The sequence below is a fragment of the Homo sapiens genome, chromosome 7, assembly GCF_000001405.40.
Source record: "Homo sapiens chromosome 7, GRCh38.p14 Primary Assembly".
NCBI lineage: Eukaryota > Metazoa > Chordata > Mammalia > Primates > Hominidae > Homo > Homo sapiens.
Genome location: NC_000007.14, coordinates 126484657 through 126503574, shown reverse-complemented (window position 1 = coordinate 126503574; position 18918 = coordinate 126484657). Strand labels below are relative to the sequence as shown.

At 36.4% G+C, this 18918-nt stretch overlaps 1 protein-coding gene and 1 long non-coding RNA gene across 25 annotated transcripts in view; one reads left to right on the top strand and one right to left on the bottom strand.

Moving 5' to 3' along the window:
- LOC101928357 (uncharacterized) overlaps positions 1–8263 on the bottom strand; it is a 41965-nt gene extending 33702 nt beyond the window's left edge. The window contains exon 1 of the long non-coding RNA XR_927937.3: positions 8208–8263. This is a non-coding gene — a long non-coding RNA (uncharacterized LOC101928357). The remainder of the gene's footprint in view (positions 1–8207) is intronic.
- GRM8 (glutamate metabotropic receptor 8) overlaps positions 1–18918 on the top strand; it is an 814344-nt gene that overhangs the window by 749367 nt on the left and 46059 nt on the right. The window lies entirely within an intron of this gene.

Below are 18918 nucleotides of genomic sequence, written 5' to 3'. Positions count from 1 at the left end.
ATTTATGAATAAAGTACCACAATATCTGCTAACAACAGATTTGCTAACAACAATGAAACAATTGCTAACAACAATGAAAAAAAGGCTTGCCAGATTTTCCTAGCCTTCTAGTCCTGTGCTCATGTCAATATTTGATAATCCCAAACTAATCCTCATAAAATATAAGTAATTTGGATCTTCTGCTTTCGAAAGTTTGGTTTATGAAAGAAATACTAGTCTAATTAGTTACAGAAACAGTCTCATGTCTGATCAGGCTTTTCCAGAGATACAACTCATATTCATCTTATATTTGTGTACTCTGGCATGACTGCCTTCTCCATCTTGTCCCTCTCTTTGCTGTACTTTTGCTTTTTATTTTATTTTATTTTAATCATGTGAGCCTCATTCCCCCAGATCCAGATATGCTGCTGCTTGATGACAGGAGAAGATGAAGGCTAGCAATCCCAGATCATTTCCTCCTGTTTCAGTGACTCTAGTAGGAAGATAAATACTGTCTCCATTCCTGGAAATCACTTTGGTTGATCTTGTTTGAGTCTCATTCCCTAGCAGTGAACCAATCCCACTTGCCATAGGAATGAGGTCCTCATGAAAGGCTTGAGACTCATGATCATTCCTGTGCTGACATCCAGGAAGAGTCTTTGCTTAACAGCACCACTGGAACCAGCTGGAATATGGAGCACAGGACTGTTCCCATAGAAACAGAAAGGTCCCTTCAACCTATGTCTGTGGATCATGTTTAATAATTATGTCTACTCTTTTAACTCTGAGTCCATATTGGACACCCCAAATTATGTATTATAAAGTACACATCCAGTCAGCAGCATTTTTATGCCTCTAATTTTTAAAATGTTTTAAATAACCATTAAGGTGGAATTAAAAGCATTCTCAAGTCATTTACCAAGAATAAATCATAAGGAATAAGAACCAGAAGCTCTAGTTTGTACTATATAATTGTTTTAAAACACCAGGTATCTGCAGAGTTTTACTGAAACAATCTCAGTACATAAACCAATGTTTTCCTCTTCTGTAAATATTTTAGCAAACTTTCTTTTGAAGTCAAATGCAAATATTCATATTTTTCTCTAAAATTAGTATATTTTTGTATATAGCAGACACTTTTGTGGATTAGAGGGAGAACTAAGCAATCGGATCTATCTGTAACACTTTAAGCAGGTAGATTTGGAAACTTCTTTCTCCCCTCCTCCTGTAAACAGATCTTAGAGGGAGGCTTCTAAACTACATTTGTTTTGATTGTGCTGCCCTTGCATACCTCTCAAACATGCCACCATATATGTGGGTACTTAGCTTGTCACTGTAGAGATGGTGTAACATTAAAGGACAGGTAGCTGTTTGTCATTTTCTTCCATTCTCAAGTGATCACTAAATTACAAGTCTTTTTTTCTTTTTTATGTTTCATTCTTAGAATGAACATTTCTAGCCTTTGCATCCCAAACATTTAAAGACAACCTCACTTAGCCTTATAATGACAGGTTCTTCTCCATTAGGACCAAAAGTTTATATCTAATCCCAACAGGTCATATGGTAACTGTAATCAATCCAACCTTGCTGCTGGTTTTTGCTCTAAAAAAGTAAATCATATCAAGTTATCAAGCCCTGCAAACATTCTATGAGCACCTGTATCTACCAGGCATTGATCATTTCTGTAATAGGCACCCTGCCACTACACCCAGGTCCTTCTGGCTGATTAAAATCTGTACTGCTGACAGTTGGCCTGCCCAGACCTGCCCCGACTCTTCCTGGACCCCATTGACACTCATTCTCCCTTCTTGTAGCAGCCTTCATTGATAGTTATACTGTCAGACACCAACTGCCACCCTGCCTGAACCTGCTCTCTGACTTGAGATTTGGATCTCTTGAAGAGTTAGCTAAGTCTCTAGAACTTGTCCGGCCTGATTCAAAGTTTTCCCAAATCCCCAATGACAAGTATTTGCTCTTATTTAATGTTGTTTACTCACTGTTGTTTCTAAGAAATATTATCTCTGCCACTGTTGCTGACCTGTCAGCCTTCTCCCTTTTCTTCTATTGTCTTTTCCTCTTTCTTCTTCACTGACTGCCACTTTGCCAGTGCTTCTAAGGCTTCACATGGTTAACCAGTCTCAGTGCAGGTATCTTTTGGAGTCTTGGTTCTTCTCAGCTGGGATCATATGAGTAGTCTGATATGTGATGAACACATTTGTTTCCCCTTCCAACTATTTTTTGTTTGAAAATTCAGAAAATGTGATGGTTGAAAAAATCAACTGAAAAGTTGATTTTTGGGTAGCCAATGTTCAATGTGCCTCCATAATGAAGCCCTGCTCCTTTGACTATCCTTTGCCTTTTAAAAAATCATTTTCCACTTCTGTACTTAATTTTTAAAAATCTGTAGAATGGAAGTATTAGCATTTACTTTTGTAACTAGTTCTGCTGTAAAACGTAAGTAATTCATGCAGAAGTTTTGGAAATACACTCATAAAATACATGATATGAGTATGAAGTCTTACCATAATTCAAATAAGTACATTTATTATTGTATGTAAGCAGCATTTTAGAAAGCACTAAAAAATTATAAGAATAAAGGACTGTTCTAAAATAGTTTATAAAGGGTCAGAAAAAATAAACATGTGATTTGATAAACAAAGACTAAGGGAGAGCATAACAAATAGCAAATAGCTTAATGGTCTACAAAATAAGCAAACATTCATACTATGTTAATTTGACATTATTCAATTAAAAAGTCAAACCCCCTTTTGGTTGATACATTACCTCCTAATGTATATCATAATGCATTAAAAGCTATGTAAGGAAAACCTCTATAGATGACTAACAGAAGCTGAGCCTCTGCTGTATAATAATTGGTCACACTTATTCACATTTATTACTACATGCCAAACACCGTGCTGAGTATTTTTTACATATTAAACTTACTGAATATTTTAACTGAATATTTTTCATGCATTGTTTTCCTTCCTACTGTTCTTTTCCAAACATATTGTTCTGATCTCTGATCTTTCCTCTAAGTACCAGAGGTAGAGCTTAGTCCTCTGAGGAAGAATGCTGCCAACTGTGCCAGTTCTTATGGGGAGGTACATGAAACCCTTTAGGAGGATGACAGGAATTGAAGACCAGAAGCAAAAGTTGCTGTTGGGTTAAGGGTTGTTGCTGGGACTCTGGAAGGGAAAAATCCCTTCTCTCCTCCTGTCTTCCATCTCCCTCTAGCACCTTCTATTCGAAGAACAAAGCAGAAATCCAACTAACAAGAAGAAACCTGCAGATGGAACTTACAAAAGTGGAATTTATATAGAGAGTAGAATGGTGGTTACCAGAGGTTGAGGGGGCAGGGGAGAGAGGACAGGAAAAGGGGAAATGTTGATGAAAGGGCACAAAATTTCAGTAAGACAGGAGGACTAGGTTCTGGTGTTCTATTGTACAGCAAGGTGACTATAGTTAATAAGAATGTATTGTACATTTCAAAATGGCTGAAAGAGTGGACTTTAAATGTCTTCATCATAAAGAAATCATAAGTACTTGAGGTGATAAATATGTTAATTAGCCTGATTTGATCTTTCTACGTATATATGTATATACGCACATATCAAAACATCACGCCCCATAAATATATACAATTGTTGTTTTTAGTTTTATTTTTAATTAACAAAGTAATTGTATATATAGAATACAGTGTTATTAACTATAATTACCTTGCTGTGCAGTAAATCACTAGAACTTATGTCTCCAATCTAATTGACCAACATTTCCTTTTTCCCCATCCACCCACCTCCCCCCAGCCTCTGGTAACCACCATTCTACTCTCTACTTCTATGAGTTCTTTAGATTGTCTTCTATGACGTTTTTAAATTCCACGCATAAGTGAGATCAGATGATATTTTTCTCTCTGTGCCTGGCTCATTTAACTTAACATATCTCCCAGCTCATCCATGTTGTCACAAATAACAGACATTCCCTTTTTTTTAAAGGCCGAATAGTATTTCACTGTGTAGAAATACTCAAATGGAAACAACACTTAGGTTGACTATTGTGAATAATGCTTTAATGAACACGGGAGTGCAGACATCCCTTCATCATACCGATGTCATTTTCTTTGGGTCTATACCTAGTAGTAAGATTGTTGGATCATACGATAATTCTAGTTTTTTTTTTTTTGGAGGAACCTCTATACTATTTTCCAAAATGGTTTTACTAATTTACAATATCACCAACAGTGAGTATAGAAGGGTTTCCTTTTCTACACATCCTTGCCAACATTTAAGCTCTTTCATCTTTTGATAATAGCTAATCTAACAGGTAGAAGGTGACATCTCATTGTGGTTTGTTAATTAAAAATAAAATAGAACCTTAAGAAAATAAAAAAAAAAATGTAGTTTGCAGACACTCTTCCCCCAGCACCACAAACAGAGTATATAGAAGAGTGGATTTGGAGAGATTCAAATTTGGAGAGGTTTGTTGAGAGACAACAACTTCATAAACGGAAAAGATAATAAATATGAATTCTGAGTAAATCTCTCATAGATTCTCCCAAATTTCACATCTGTTCTCCCAGGAATTTTTAAAAAATGTTACATATCTAGTAACAAAATAAATATGCATTTGTATTCTTGTCATGATATTTTATTTTATGCCAACAATAAATGTAGAAGAGATTCACTATAGGTCAATAACTTTGATTTCATCTAATTAACAAGTTACCTTCATCAGTTAATGCAAGATAAATACGTAATTTATGACCCATAATCAAATTTCACATAATGAAAGTCCTAATTTGACACATTAGCTACATTATGTCCATTAGAGCTTGTCTTTTACAGGTACTGCCAATGAAGCTTGAATATATTGGTAAAGCACAGGGCAGAAGTAAGGTGGAAAAAGTGAAGAAGTAAATTATGCTATAAAATATTTACCATCAACTGCCAGCTCATTAATCAGACAAAAGCAATAGAGACAGCCAACAGTACATGTCCCCCCACTTTTCTGGAGACTTACTGCCTCCTGTGTGAGTGAGTGTTTTCTGTAGAGCCGTTTTCAGTTGTCTATGATGGTATGCCAGCAAGGGGCTTCCCATGCTATGGTCTATTAAAATGGTACCCTGGAAACCAGGTACTCTTGCAGAAAGCAGAATCTTCTGAGGCCCCCACTAATGGTCATGGGTCAAAGGCTAATACCCTTGCTTTTATGGTCCTGAGAAAGAGCTTATGCCTCTCTTTGGCCCTTAATACTATCTTCCTTTACTTGATCCCACACAGTTTATCATGCATGAGCAGTCAAGATGTTTCTTTTTTCCTTTCTTTATAAGAAACAGTTTTCTAGGTACAAATATACATCAGAACAATTGAGTTTCTTAAAGTACTTGCAGCTTCAATATGCAAAGCTGTCCCTCCGTATACACAGCTCTCCTATGTCTTTTGGTAATTTCCAAGAATTTTTATGGCTTCAGACCCCACCTCTCATCATGAAATTATCTAACCCTTGGAGACTTGTGTCTGAGTTCCTTAAGTTTCCAGAATCCATCCTTTTCTTCTCTAGGAGATATTTCAGGGTCAAGGGATTTCTTTGTCTTAGGCTTGATTTTCTAGCCCTCATCTAAAAATGTATTTCTGTTGCACTCCAATTATTCCCTTGCACTTTATGTTCCATTCAAGAAGCAAGAGGTCCCCACCTACACTCTACTGACAAATGCCCTTTAATGCTTGTCTTTCATGGCTGATCTACTGATGCCCATTTCTCCCTCCGTTTTATAATAGGGCACTCTCAGCATCATAGGTTACTACTGCCTATCATTTAAGACTCACATTTATACATCAGTACATACGGGTTTAACCCAACGTTGCAATGCAGCCCTTAAGTTTTACATTTACCATTTACAGAAAGATTGTAATGTATTCATAGGGGATAAAAACCATTCCATCTAGAATAATTTTAAGAGGTTAAACCAATTATTGGGTTGTTATAATGACAGAAATGGGGCAAGGACATCAACAGGCCAAGGAGAATGTCCAGGCAGGGCAGTTCCAACTGGGACCATCTAATATTATTTCGAATATATCTACATACACAGCCAGTCATTTGACAAGAATAGCCAGTGAATCCCTCTTTAGAAATTAGTAACTTCAGGCAGTTGCAGCTTAAAATGCCAAGTTAGATGTCAGAGTGCTAATGAAAATACCCTGAATTTTGGAGACAGACATACCCAGGTTTGAAGGATGGCCCTCCATCCACTGTTGTTGCTCCCAAGTTTCCTCATATTTAAATAGTTTTTAAGGCTTTTAAGAAAATTAATGAATTGGCAAATGTAAAGTTGAAAGCATAGTACAGTACACATTACTGTAATAATTAGTAGTATTTCTCATGTGTGCCCCCATCATCTTTCTGTAATCTGCTGCATCTTTTATTTTGGAGGGATGTTGGCTCTCTGGTACTCTGCATTCTATCCACACGCTGAAATTGGCTCATAATCACTATGCCCAACCCTTGCTATTTGTGTATGGTATTAAATATTAGCCTATTTCATACCTTCTCAATGATAACATTATTGCCCCCAAAGGGATTAAAATTGGTTATTTGCACAGCAGCAGCAAAAAAAAAAAAAAAATCCAAAACTCATTCTCTTATTATGAATAAAGCACAGATATGCATTCAGTACATAAAGAGGTATACAGTGCATGTATGCTGTTTAAATTTCACCTGTGGGGGGGAGATTAGGAAAATAATGTCTAAAAAGGCTTTTTTGTGAGGAACAATGTGAGAAATCAATTGAGAAACACTCAAGTGATTTAACTACATCACCCCAATTTCTCCTACAACCATCCTACTAGTTCTGCAACTGATTAGACAGGGAAGAACTTGTCCAAAGCCACCGAGTTATTGAGTGATAATCATAGTTTAAGTGCAACTGACCTCTGGATGATTTTACCTTCAAAGGGAGAGGTTGACAAATTAGATATTCTAGTAAAAAACGATGGCAAAAAACATGGTTCCAGTGAACATTTCCTCGTTCAGAAAAGTCTGTTAGCATCTAAGTGCAAGTGACAGATGTGTCTTGGTTTCACAGTAGTGGAACTATTGAAACCTTTGGCTCAAAAAAATCTGAGAACTTCTCTTCTAAAAGCACAAATGGAGCCATCAATACTTCTTGTCATAGAAGAATAAGGAAGACTGAGTTTTAGTTCTACCTGTGTCAGGAATGTGTGAAATGTCACTTAAGGTATGTAGACCTCATTTATCTAATCTATAAAATCTGCAGATTCTCTTTCGTTTCTTCCCTTTCCTTCTTTCCTTCCCTCCTACCTCCTTCCTTTCTTCCGTATATCCATCCTTCCTTCCACACTGTCTCCCTTTCTTCCTTCCTTCCTCCCTTTCTCTCTGTCCTTTCCTTTCTGCATTCCTTTTGTTTTTAGTAGCAAAAATTATTTCCAAAATAAAATCTCTCTGAAACTCTAAGTGTAAAATAGAAGAAACAGAGCTCAGAGAGTCAGAGTCCTATTTACTACCCCCACCCTAACATTCATCAAGTAGCTCAGGACTCTGGAGCCCTGTGGAATCCAGTTAGAAGACCACTGAATTCAGTCCCTTCAGTTTTGAAGTATTTGGCTTTGAGCTTCTACTCTGAAGTAGTTGTTTGAATCTACCAACAGTTACTGTGCAAACAATTTTATCAGCATGCACGTATGCCTAGTGAGATTGGATATTTTCGTTAGCCACCTTGCCAACAAATTTTTCTCATTACCCAAACACACACACATTTATGCATATTTAAATATGTGCTTAAGAAGCAGAAAGATATGAGTTAATGGATTCATTAACAATTGTCACATGAGTAGGCTGAGCTGATCTTTACACATTCGTTCTCAGTATAAGAATTTAACCAGATAGTTGCTGTCTTTACAAACAAAACTTTTGATACCCCTAATGATGAGGACCAGATGAAAAATAATAATTTAAAACTTGTTACTCAGCAGGCACTGTGTATTCATATACTCCCTTACCCAAACTGGAAATCCCAATTAGAATTCTACATTTAAGTTCCTGGGTAGTTGGTTTCTACTCCAAGTTCAGCTCAATATCAAAATTAGAATAAAAATGATAAAAGGCCTTGAGATCCTTCTGGATGTGTCACATCTTTTCTGATTGCTGTACTGTCATCATTGCAGTCTTCTCAGTAGCATCCCCCAATTAATGGATTTTAGTCTACTTACCTCATTTAGTTCTAAAATATTTGTGTCTTTCTTATTCTTGCTTGTATTTCTGGTCTGACTTTGCCAGTTAGGTAAGAGCAGATTTCAGCTTGCTGTGCTGGCTCTAACCCAACTTTCTCTTCTAAAATTTTCCATTAACTGACCTCTGTTTTGGAGCACACACGTTTTCAGATGCCTAACTTCATGCCATGGGACTGTCATATTCTTATTTTTTTCCTGACCTCTTAGCCTTGGACCTGGCTCTGTACCAGAACTGTTGCACAGTTTGCAAATGCTTCTATTATTAATAGGTCATATCCACTTGAAAGATTAAACAGTTATTTAATATGTAAGGGTTGCATTTTATTTGTTTAATTGATTTTTAATTTAATGTTTTTGGTATTATAAAGTCCATTAATAAGAGATCTTAGGAAATTATTTTGCTTTGAACTTAATTGAACATATTCACGAGCAGTCATCTATTTTAACCAAGTATATAGTATTTTCCAATGTTCAGTTTTCTTCAAAGGGAATGTATTTTGTACACTCTTAGGCGTTGTATTTTGTGATTTTAGTAAACTAAGCCAGCAGAGTATCAATGTATTTTCAAGAAAAGTGCAATTTGAAATTCTGCATTTTTAACAGTGGCAGTGGCTATGGCATTCAAATGTACAATTCTATTTTTGAAGACTTGAAGTGTTTTGTTACTTTCTGTCTTTGTGTGTGTGTGTAATGTATGCAGAAATGTACTAGGAGCTCTTTGAAATAAAAAGAAAATAAGTAGAGTGTCAAAGATTTACCTGTCTTCCTCAAGCATTTTCTAAGTGCTTGCAATCAGTTACTATGCTTCTTCTCTGGGCTCATATTTTACTGTTTTTGTTTATTTAAAGAGATAAAAATATAAATGATTAACATCAAGACTTGAATTTTTGGATGTCTTTATCATGTCATAGATGATAGGGCTCCTAAAGCTACCTGAAAATCATTAGAATTAAGTGTATGACTGACAACCTGCGTGTGGTTTGCAGACATTCTCTAAGATTGTTTGAAATGATGTTTTGTTTACATAATAGTAAGTAGTGTGTGCATCTATTTGAGCTAATGGTGATATTGCAACTTTAAAAAATGGTGACAATTTACACTACTTGCATCAGAAGAGTTGTTAGTGTGTGAGAATTACAGTCATGCTGCTGTCTCCCTACAGACTCTAAACCAATTGCACAATTAATATGGAGGTATAAATGAATGAGAAAATGGTCATCTTCATTACTGGTAAATATGTGATGGAAAGTAGAGCTTGGATTAGAGAGCTGAACTCTGGCTTCCTAATACCCCATGCTTCCCCAGTGGCCATGAGTGTGATTCTTGAGACTCATTATCAGAGAGAGGAAGCAGCTCCGCAGAGCTGTGACTTCCCCTGCCAGTCATGCCAGGGAAGCTGCTCCTCATGACAGCCTTCTACAGCCAGCTGATCCCAAAAACATAAACTTGGCAGGGCTGAGTTACGCATTCCTAGTGCCTTTGTCTAATCTTACTGATCAGATAAATTACTCCCCCTTCCAGAGGGAACCATATAGATGTCTGGGTAAAAGACAGATTAGGGAGAACTGCATATAGAGTTGGTAGTTGAAAACTCTAGGGTAGCCATTATTATTCCAACTTAGAAAATGAAAAAGCACCCTGATAGAGGTCAGGGACTCTGTCAAGGTCACAGAGCTAGTCACTGATGGAGCAAAGCTTCACATGTTCTACTTAGGGAGGCTGCGTTAGTCAAAGGTAGCGCAGCTGTAGACCTGTGCTATTGCATACAGCTACTCATTTTCTTCTCACATAGTGGTTGCCATAGAATTTTCAACAGCTCAGTCCCATCTTGTGTTAAAATCTGTTCTTCCGGGAAAGATGATCATTGCTCCATTAGCACATCCCTATTAATCTTTTGGTACATGCTACTCTCTTCTCTGTCTGAGAGAAACTTCACTCAATTTCTTCGAGCCAGAACCGCCTAAGCCTCATGGTCACTGTCCTCTGCTCTGCTTCTTCGCTCTAACTCTGCCCTCTCTCACCACATGTGAGATACTCTGTGCTCTGTATCTGGACAGTGACCCCAGTCTCTCCTGCTGTTAGTCCTGCTGTTGCATTTTGTAACATAGCCCTGCTTTCTTAAAGCTGGATGCTTTCTACCCTCTATTTTCCACTTTGAATAGATTAAGATCAATTAAGATTATTAACCATAAAAAGGGAAAGGGGATTCCATAGTGGAGCAGTTTTACTAGATGAAAATGTTTTATCCACTCTGTTCTCTAATAAAAACAAACAAAGCTCAACAAAACAAAGCTCAACAAACAAAAATTCTCAACTTTATCCAACAAAATCAATACACAAACAAACTTTCCCAATGCTTTCTTCCCTTCGCACATGTGCTGGTGCCCATACTGATATGTTTTACATTCACCCTAGGAAAAATAATTTAATGGACTTGGAGAGGCTTTCCAGGCAATATTCAAATGCATATATCATGTGTCGACTTGTGATTTCTGCTTATGTTACCATTTTGATTGTCTATCACCTCTGCCAAGGAAAAGAGGTCCATCTGACAGAATTACTTAATTTTGAAATCTATATATAAGGAATACCTATCTATAAAGCTATTTACATCTTTATCTGTTAACTCAGTGATTCCAAAATAATAAAAATACCTAAGTTCAAAATATGGGTTGAATCTTAATTCTTATGAAAACAATTCTATTTAGTTAAATGTTACCAGATAGTTACTGTGACCCAACTATATTAATAAAGAACTGGCTTGAGGTGAATTAGTAGGAACAAAGTTTCAGAGACAGAAAACCTGAGATGGAGGCCAGCTTTAACAATCACCCTGTGACCATGCCCTTGTGTAAGTCAGTAATTTCCTTTCTATCTTAAAGTTCTTCATGTATATAGTGTGAATAATAACACTGTACTCATTGATTGTGTTGGGATTAAATTAAGATAATGTAAAAATCTTAGTACAGTTCCTAGCACATAAACAGTTCCTTATAGGCCAGGTGCAGTGGCTCACACCTGTAATCCCAGCAATTTGTGAGGCTGAGGCAGGTGAATCACTTGAGTCCAGGAGTTTGAGACCAGCCTGGGCAACGTGGCGAAACCCCGTCTCTAAAAAAGATACAAAAATTATCCAGGCATGGTGGTGCATGCCTATAGTCCCAGCTACTTGGGAGGCTAAAGCAGGAGGATCATTTGAGCCCAGGAGGTTGCAGTAAGCTGAGATCGCACCACCGTACTCCAGCCTAGGTGACAGACTGAGACCCTGCCTCAAAGAAAAATAAAAGTTATTCAGAAATGTTAATTATGTAATCATTGAATTTTTAAGGCTTGTGGGAATTGAGCATAATTGATACTATGCAATGAAAGAAGGGATGGCTTTTTTATTATTCTTCTCTGAAGTCCACTTTCCTATTTAGATACTGATTCAAACAAATAAATGAGGAAACAGGTCTTGTGGAAATATATATGATCTGTATGAATGATTAAAATATTCTGAAATTTATTGAAGGCTAGACAGGAAACAGTGAGATCCTTTCCACATCCACAGATTCATTATTTTCTTATATTGCTAAAGTTATTTCCAAATATTATCTCATTTATTCTTTCAACAGCCTTTCCTATTGTTAACATGGTTTTACAAACATGACACCTGTGGCTAAGAAAGATAAAATAAATTGGCTAAAGGTTCACAGAAGCTATAAGAAAAGAATCAGGAGAATTCACATGGTCTTTGTTTCCCATTCATTGTTGTTTGTATGAGGCCCCATTACTTCTAACGGTATGAAAATTTGTAAAATTTGTTAAGTTCTGTACATTTACATTTGCATACTTATAAAATGCAAGCACTGTAAATTTGTGAATAATCTTTTTCTTAAACTGAAGTTCTTTGAAAAAGCACATAAAGTTTTTATGAAAATGTAAATGACAAAAACAATATCCATTTCATTGTAGTTCCCTGTAAAATGAAGATAATAGACACACTATTTTAAAACGCTTTTGTTTTTGAACATTTGTAATAGTCCTGGATTAAGTTTCATTAAAATAAAAGAAGATGGGCTACATTGAGAAAATTGTCTAGGGTCTATGGAGAGGAAAATCATGTTTCTGTGAAATAGTATATAACTTCATGAAAGCCATAAGATGCTAGTAACGGTTGTAGAACAGTGCTTATTTTTGAAATTTCAAGATAAGCCAGTTTGGTTGGAAACATTCAACCTCAGACATCATGGTGGATAGGGTAATTATAGATTCAACAAACTTCACTGATCACTTGAAACATTCTTTCCAATGGTACATCATATAGAAGGTTTTCAATTCATTTTGGCTATTATTGACAAAATTACCATAAAAGGAGAAAGAGTATAAGTTTGGAGTTGAATGGTTCGAAAATAATACTCACATTCAGGATTCTGTAAAGAATTTACTATGCCTTGGACATATTACTTAACCTCTTTAAATTACCTTTTCCAATTTTTAAAATGGGAGGCTACTAGGATTATTCTAGAATTAGAGATCACCTATATGAAAAGTCTACAATGTAGTGTAAGCTGCATAAAAGACGGTGATTGTCTGAGTTTTCCTGAAAGCAGAAGTCTGAGACATAGACATGCATGCAGGCAGTTTATTTGGGAGGAAGAATCTGTGAGGAAACATTGTGACTGAAACAGGGGAGGCAGCAGAGGTGTGTAAGGGTGTGTCTAGAGTCCATGGGGCCTCCACTCTCCTAAGACCTCTGAAACATGGAGACCACCTCCTCTATATATCCATCTGAATAATAGGAGGCTAGAACGTTTGTCCATTGGCATAGTTCTTGTTCTCTAAGGATCTATTTCTTCTAACCTAATTTTAAAAGAAATGACACATGCTTATTAATACCCTTTTTTGTCAAGATGCTGTGATTATTGATTGCCAAAGCTCTCTAAGGCTAGTCTTTCCACTGTTAAGGCTTCAAGATTTTATAAACAAGATGGAAGGCTTTATTCAGCAGAATATGCTACCATTTTTAAGAGAACAGCAGTTGTCAGCATGCAGGGAATGTGCCCTTACCAAGGGCTTGTCTGAAATGAAGAGGTGGTCATATTAGAGAACTTGGATAAGAGGAGAAAGATGAAATAAACAAGACCCAAATGTTGGTAAGGGTAATGTATTAGCCAGAATTCTCCACAGAAACAGAACCAGTAGGCCGCAGATATAGATATGTAAGAGGAGATTTAGTATGGGAATTTGCATATGCAGTTATGGAAACTGAGAAGTCTCACCATCTGCTCTCTGCAAGCTTGAGAACCAGGAAAGCCAGTGGGCAATGGTGTCACTCCCAGTTGGAGGCTGAAGGCCTGAAAACTACAGGGGGGTTGGGAGTAACTGGTCTCAGAGTTCAAAGGCCCAAGAACCAGAAACTCTGATGTCTTGGCTCTGGTGGGGGAGGGGGAGGAATTTGTTCTTCCTTTGCGTCTTGGTTCTATTTGGGCCCTCACTGGATTGGATGCTGTCCACCTAAGTTGGTGAAGACAGATCTTCTTTATTCTGTCTACTGCTTTGCATGCTCATCTCTTCAGGAAACACACTCACTCACACACCAAGAAATAATGTTTTACCAGCTATCTGGGCATCCCTTAAGTCTAGTTAAGTTAACACATAAAAGTAATTATGACACATAACTTTCAGAGAAATTAAGGTTGCTGTGGATGAGGGTAAAACCTTAAAGGGAAAAAGAAAAGTCTAAAGATTTTTTACAAGATCTTTCTTTGTGGTATCCTGTATAAATCTGTAATACGTCTTCAAAGTCTTGTTTTTCTTTACACCTTTCAGATTTAGACTACTAATACCGGGTAATAAGGCGTCTTTGCTTTATGTGGATTATATATGAAATCTGTGCACACATAGTACTTTGCCAATATTCAAATCATCCTCTATGACAAGTACTGCATACCTCAAGGTACTTGGATTTAATTCTCAAAGATGTCTCCATTGTGTGTCTTTAGTTCTTTTAATTGTCATGCTGTGCATGTAGTTATGTTAATAGCTGATATTGATTTGCAGTTAATGTGCAGGACTCAGGGTAATAGCTATGCCAAAAGATTGCATTTGATTACTACATTGTTTCAAAAAAAAACTTTCTCATAAAATACGTCATTTAAATATCAGAACGGGGATAAGCATTTCACTGTTGCAGACATTGGGACTCAAATATGTTTTGTGGCTTCTCTAAATCCATGTGCTTCTTTAAGTCTATACTATGTGGACAGTTAAATTTAGATCTTCTATTTCCTAGCCTAGGTTTTTTCCACTATATATGGCTGCATTGTCATATTTGTATGCTTGAAATTATACACTGCTTTATAAATTGATATTCTATAATATATTAAGTATATATTTGATATATATTAGTTACCCAAAGTAGAAGACATGATAACATAATTTATAATATTAAATGTTTTCCCTACAAATACAATAGGGGCACATGTGTATTTGTGACCTACACTAAAAAATTAAGATTTATAAAATTCAAGATATTATCATCATTATCATATGCATAACTGTGCAGAATACTATAGCAAAGTCAGAAGAACTAAAAATCTTCACCTCTGGAAGTCTGACAATCTAGTTTGGAAGATAATTCTAATTCCCAAAGAAAAATCATAAATAGTATATAAGTGAGTACATATCCAATAGTATAGAAAATAGTTCAGAGATCTGGAATGGCGATGAATTGGACTGGCTCCTGGAAGATTGAATGATTTATATATTGTAAATATTGGGAAGAATGTGAAATTAGAAGATGAGAGGGGAAAAAGGTGTGTTTTACAAAAGTGAAAAAATCTGTTTTACTCAAGGTTATCAATAGAGTGGAACAAGATTGTGGATGGATGTTAGGTATAAGAATTTAGACTTGAGGCTTTTAGCATAACATTTTCCTGAGTGTGACCTGAACACATCCAGGATACCCAAAGACATTTTCAGGGACTGTGAAGAACGATGAACCCTATTTTCATCATAATACTAAACCATCATTTGTCTTTTTCACTGAGTTGACATCTACACTGCTGGCACAAAAGTACTGGTGGGCAGAATTGCTAGTGTGTTAATATGAATGTTGGCACTACCACCAAAACAGTTATTAGTCATTCTGTTCTTCGCTACCATGAACTTCCTGTTTTTTGTTTTTTTTTCTGTCCAGTTACAGCTGAATGCTATTGATAAAGCAAGGAAAATTATGAAGTTTATTAAATCTCAGTTTACCAGGTTTCTACATGATGAGAAAGAAGAACTTCTAATCCTTAAAGTATGATGGTTGCTTCAAGGAAAAGCTCTTATGAGGTTAGGTTGAAAGCTGATCTAGTTGCTTTTTTCATGGAATGCCATTTTTAGTTGAAGGAATGACTGACAGATAATTATGTTTATTCAAACTTGGACATATGGTGGATATTTCCTTGAAAATGAGTGGAGTAAGCTTGTCACTTCAAAGAAACAAACTGACAGTATTTGTTGCCAATGATAAAATGTGAGCTTTCAAGCAAAAAGTAGAATTTTGGAAAATGTATTCCATCACCATGAGCTTGATAGCATTTCCGTTCTTAAATACTTTTTTTGGTGAGATTGGTGACGATATTAACAAGTGTATTTTTTATATTCTATAGTAAAATCTGTCAGCTCAGTGTACGAATGTTTACCAAATGAGAAATGTATGATATTAGGAAATCATCATGAAAAAAGTAGATGCATAGATGAAAGATCCATTTAAAGTGCAAAATTGACCAATGGATTTTAATATAATAGTATAGGGAAAGGTCATTGACATTGTTTTGGCTTCTACACTGCCATTAACCTTCCAGAAACTACCCCAGTCAAGTAATAGGGTAGTATCAAAATAAATAAATCTATAATTATCAGAAAAAGTTATTAAAATATTACTTCCGTCTCGTGTGGTGGCACATGCCTGTAGTCCCTGCTACTTGGGAGGTTGAGAACAGGGACCGCTTGAGCCCAGGAGTTTGAATCTAGCCTAGACAACATTGCAGACCCCATCTCTTAGAAAAATTAAAATACGTCTCAATTTTTCAACCATATTGCGTGTCTGAAGCGGGGTTTTCATTATAAACCTTTACCAAAACAACTTATAGATTAAATCTAGAAGAAAATATGAGAATTTAGTTGTCTTCTATTAAGCCACTAACTAAAGATATTTGCAAAAATGTAAAAAAAGAAGCCACTCCTCAATAACACTTTGCTTTGAAAAGAACACTAAGTATGCACACTAAGTAACTTAAAATGCTTTATAATTTGAGGTTGATAAATTGATATGGTAATTACTGTTGAAACAGAGCACTAGTCTGTAGTACCTCTGATAAAATTTGTGGTGACTGATGCTCAAGTCTGGTTATAAGTGTTTTGGAAATATGAACATTTGATTAACAGCTAACACATTGTGGTTATCTGTACTCTGGACTAGTCAAATTTTGTTTTTCCAGTTTTGCATAGGGACACATTAGTAATCTTTGTAAGCCCTTCAGTAAATCACAAGATCTCTTTATTGAGTCATAACCAGCATTGAGTTGTAATTTTCATAAAATGTATTCCTTGTTAAACATATAATGGGCTTACCTTTGTTATTATAAATAAATACATAATTGTTTAAATATTTCTCAGTTTTAATTTCAAATATGGTAAATATCAACAGACGTAATCCACAAAAAACAAAGCACTGAGGTATCCTCGATATTTTGTAAGATTTTAAAGGGGTCATGAGCCCTATCAAGATTTTTAAAAATTGTGAGATCTATATATGTAGCTTACGAATGGTTCCAGCCTTCAAGATGGTGATTCTGACAGGCTGGGAAGTGTAACCTTCAGGCGAAACCAGAAGGCACTTTGAGGGAGGGGAGAGTGGAACAGGGATATATGCTGACAAGGTTGGCCAAGTAAACATATTCAACAGGTTTGAGGAGGTCTTATGGATATTCACAAAGGGAGTCCTGACACATGCATACTGAACAAACATGTATGTTACATGTGTCCCATGTTCATTTTGGAGTGGAAACGACATTTAAATGCATTACAATTAGGTCTTATATGTCAAAAGGTGAGGCAGGAGCATGAAGGCATTCAAATGTGCAGCCTCTGAGAGCAGGCCAGACTGAGCCCAGTGGTTGGTGGTCTCTTACCACGAGAAAGTTACTGAAATTAGTCTCTTAGTCAATCAGAGCTATGTAGCTATGGTTTGTTGGACGGGGGGTTCAACTGGTCAGTGTCTGATGAATGAGCTGCAATTATATTGCTTATCTAGAGGCCAGGGCTTGTTTACCTACTAGAAAAAGGAAAACCTTGTGGCAGTTATAATAGAGTTTATTCTTCAAGTGTAGAGGTACGTGACTTAATGCTTGCCTTGCATGGCCTTAGGTCATGTTTATAATTTGTTATCTTATTGCCATGAAAAGAGTTCGCTCTGTTGGTTATCATCTCTAGTTTATCATTAATGCTGGTCAATTGTGTTTAAACTGCAAAAAGGAGGGAGTATAATGAGGCATGTCCCCATTCTGTCTTGGCCAGGAACTCAGTTCTTTAAGGTTTCTCTGGGGTCCCTTTGGCCAAGGGAGGGTCCAGGAGCTTAGGACTGTAGTTTTAGTTCTCAGGCCGAAAAGGTTAACAACTGCTAATTTGGCAGAGGGGCAACCACTGAAGATTTTTTAGTCTTCAGTTTTGTCTCCCTTGTACCCAGTGTCTATACTATAATAGAGAGGTCTGATTTTAATTCTTCTTTAAATCCCTTCAAAGGCCAAGCTCTTTAGCATTCCTTAACACTTCCATAAAGGCCCCTATGAAGATCCTCTAGCTTTCATCCCCAGACACCACTCATCATTTCACATATTGCAATTACTTATGGGGATCGAGGACACACCCCACTGTGCTATTTAGTGCCCTCATGCCTTAGCTTGTGCTATTTTCCTCCCCTGGAAAGCCTTTCATGCCCCCCACCCCCTTTTTTTTTGTTGTTGTTGTTGCTGCCTATGTATGATTTGTCTATTAAGACCTTGATTGCACTCATTTCCCTTGGGAAACTGTTAGCTGAACTCCAAATCTGGGTCATGTGTTACCCCATATTATTATGACATTTCTTGATTCTGTGTCCATTTTGTCTAGTGGCTAGTAAGCTTCTTCAGGACAGAGACCTTGTGCTTAACACATAGTTAATGCTTAAAAATGCTTATTGCATTTGCATTTGCTTGCTCAATAATGCTTGCATAATCAATGATAATAAATGCTTGCTTAAAAATAATTAATACAAATACTAGTTAGGAGAGTTAGTCTGATAACCAACTCGAAAATGATTTCAAGTCAGAAAGGTCCATAGTATGACTTAAGCAAAATTCTGGTAAACAAAATCAAGTACATAAGTCAGACTCACTTTTTCCTCCTTGTTTACATGCAGATCGAGTGACAATAAAAAGTTTTCAAAAAAAAAAACAAAAAACGTTTAACGATAGATCCATGCTAGCACAGCCTTACCCAGCTTTCCAAAAATGGGGTCAGTTATTTAATATTTTTAATAGCACGTTTGTTTTACGAAGGCCAGCTCTCACATTTTAAGGTCACTGTTACAAATTTGATTTCCGTGGAAGAGGTTTTAAAGAAACAAAAACTTTTGGAATAAAGATTTAGCATAACTTTAAAAAAAATCACTGTACTAATG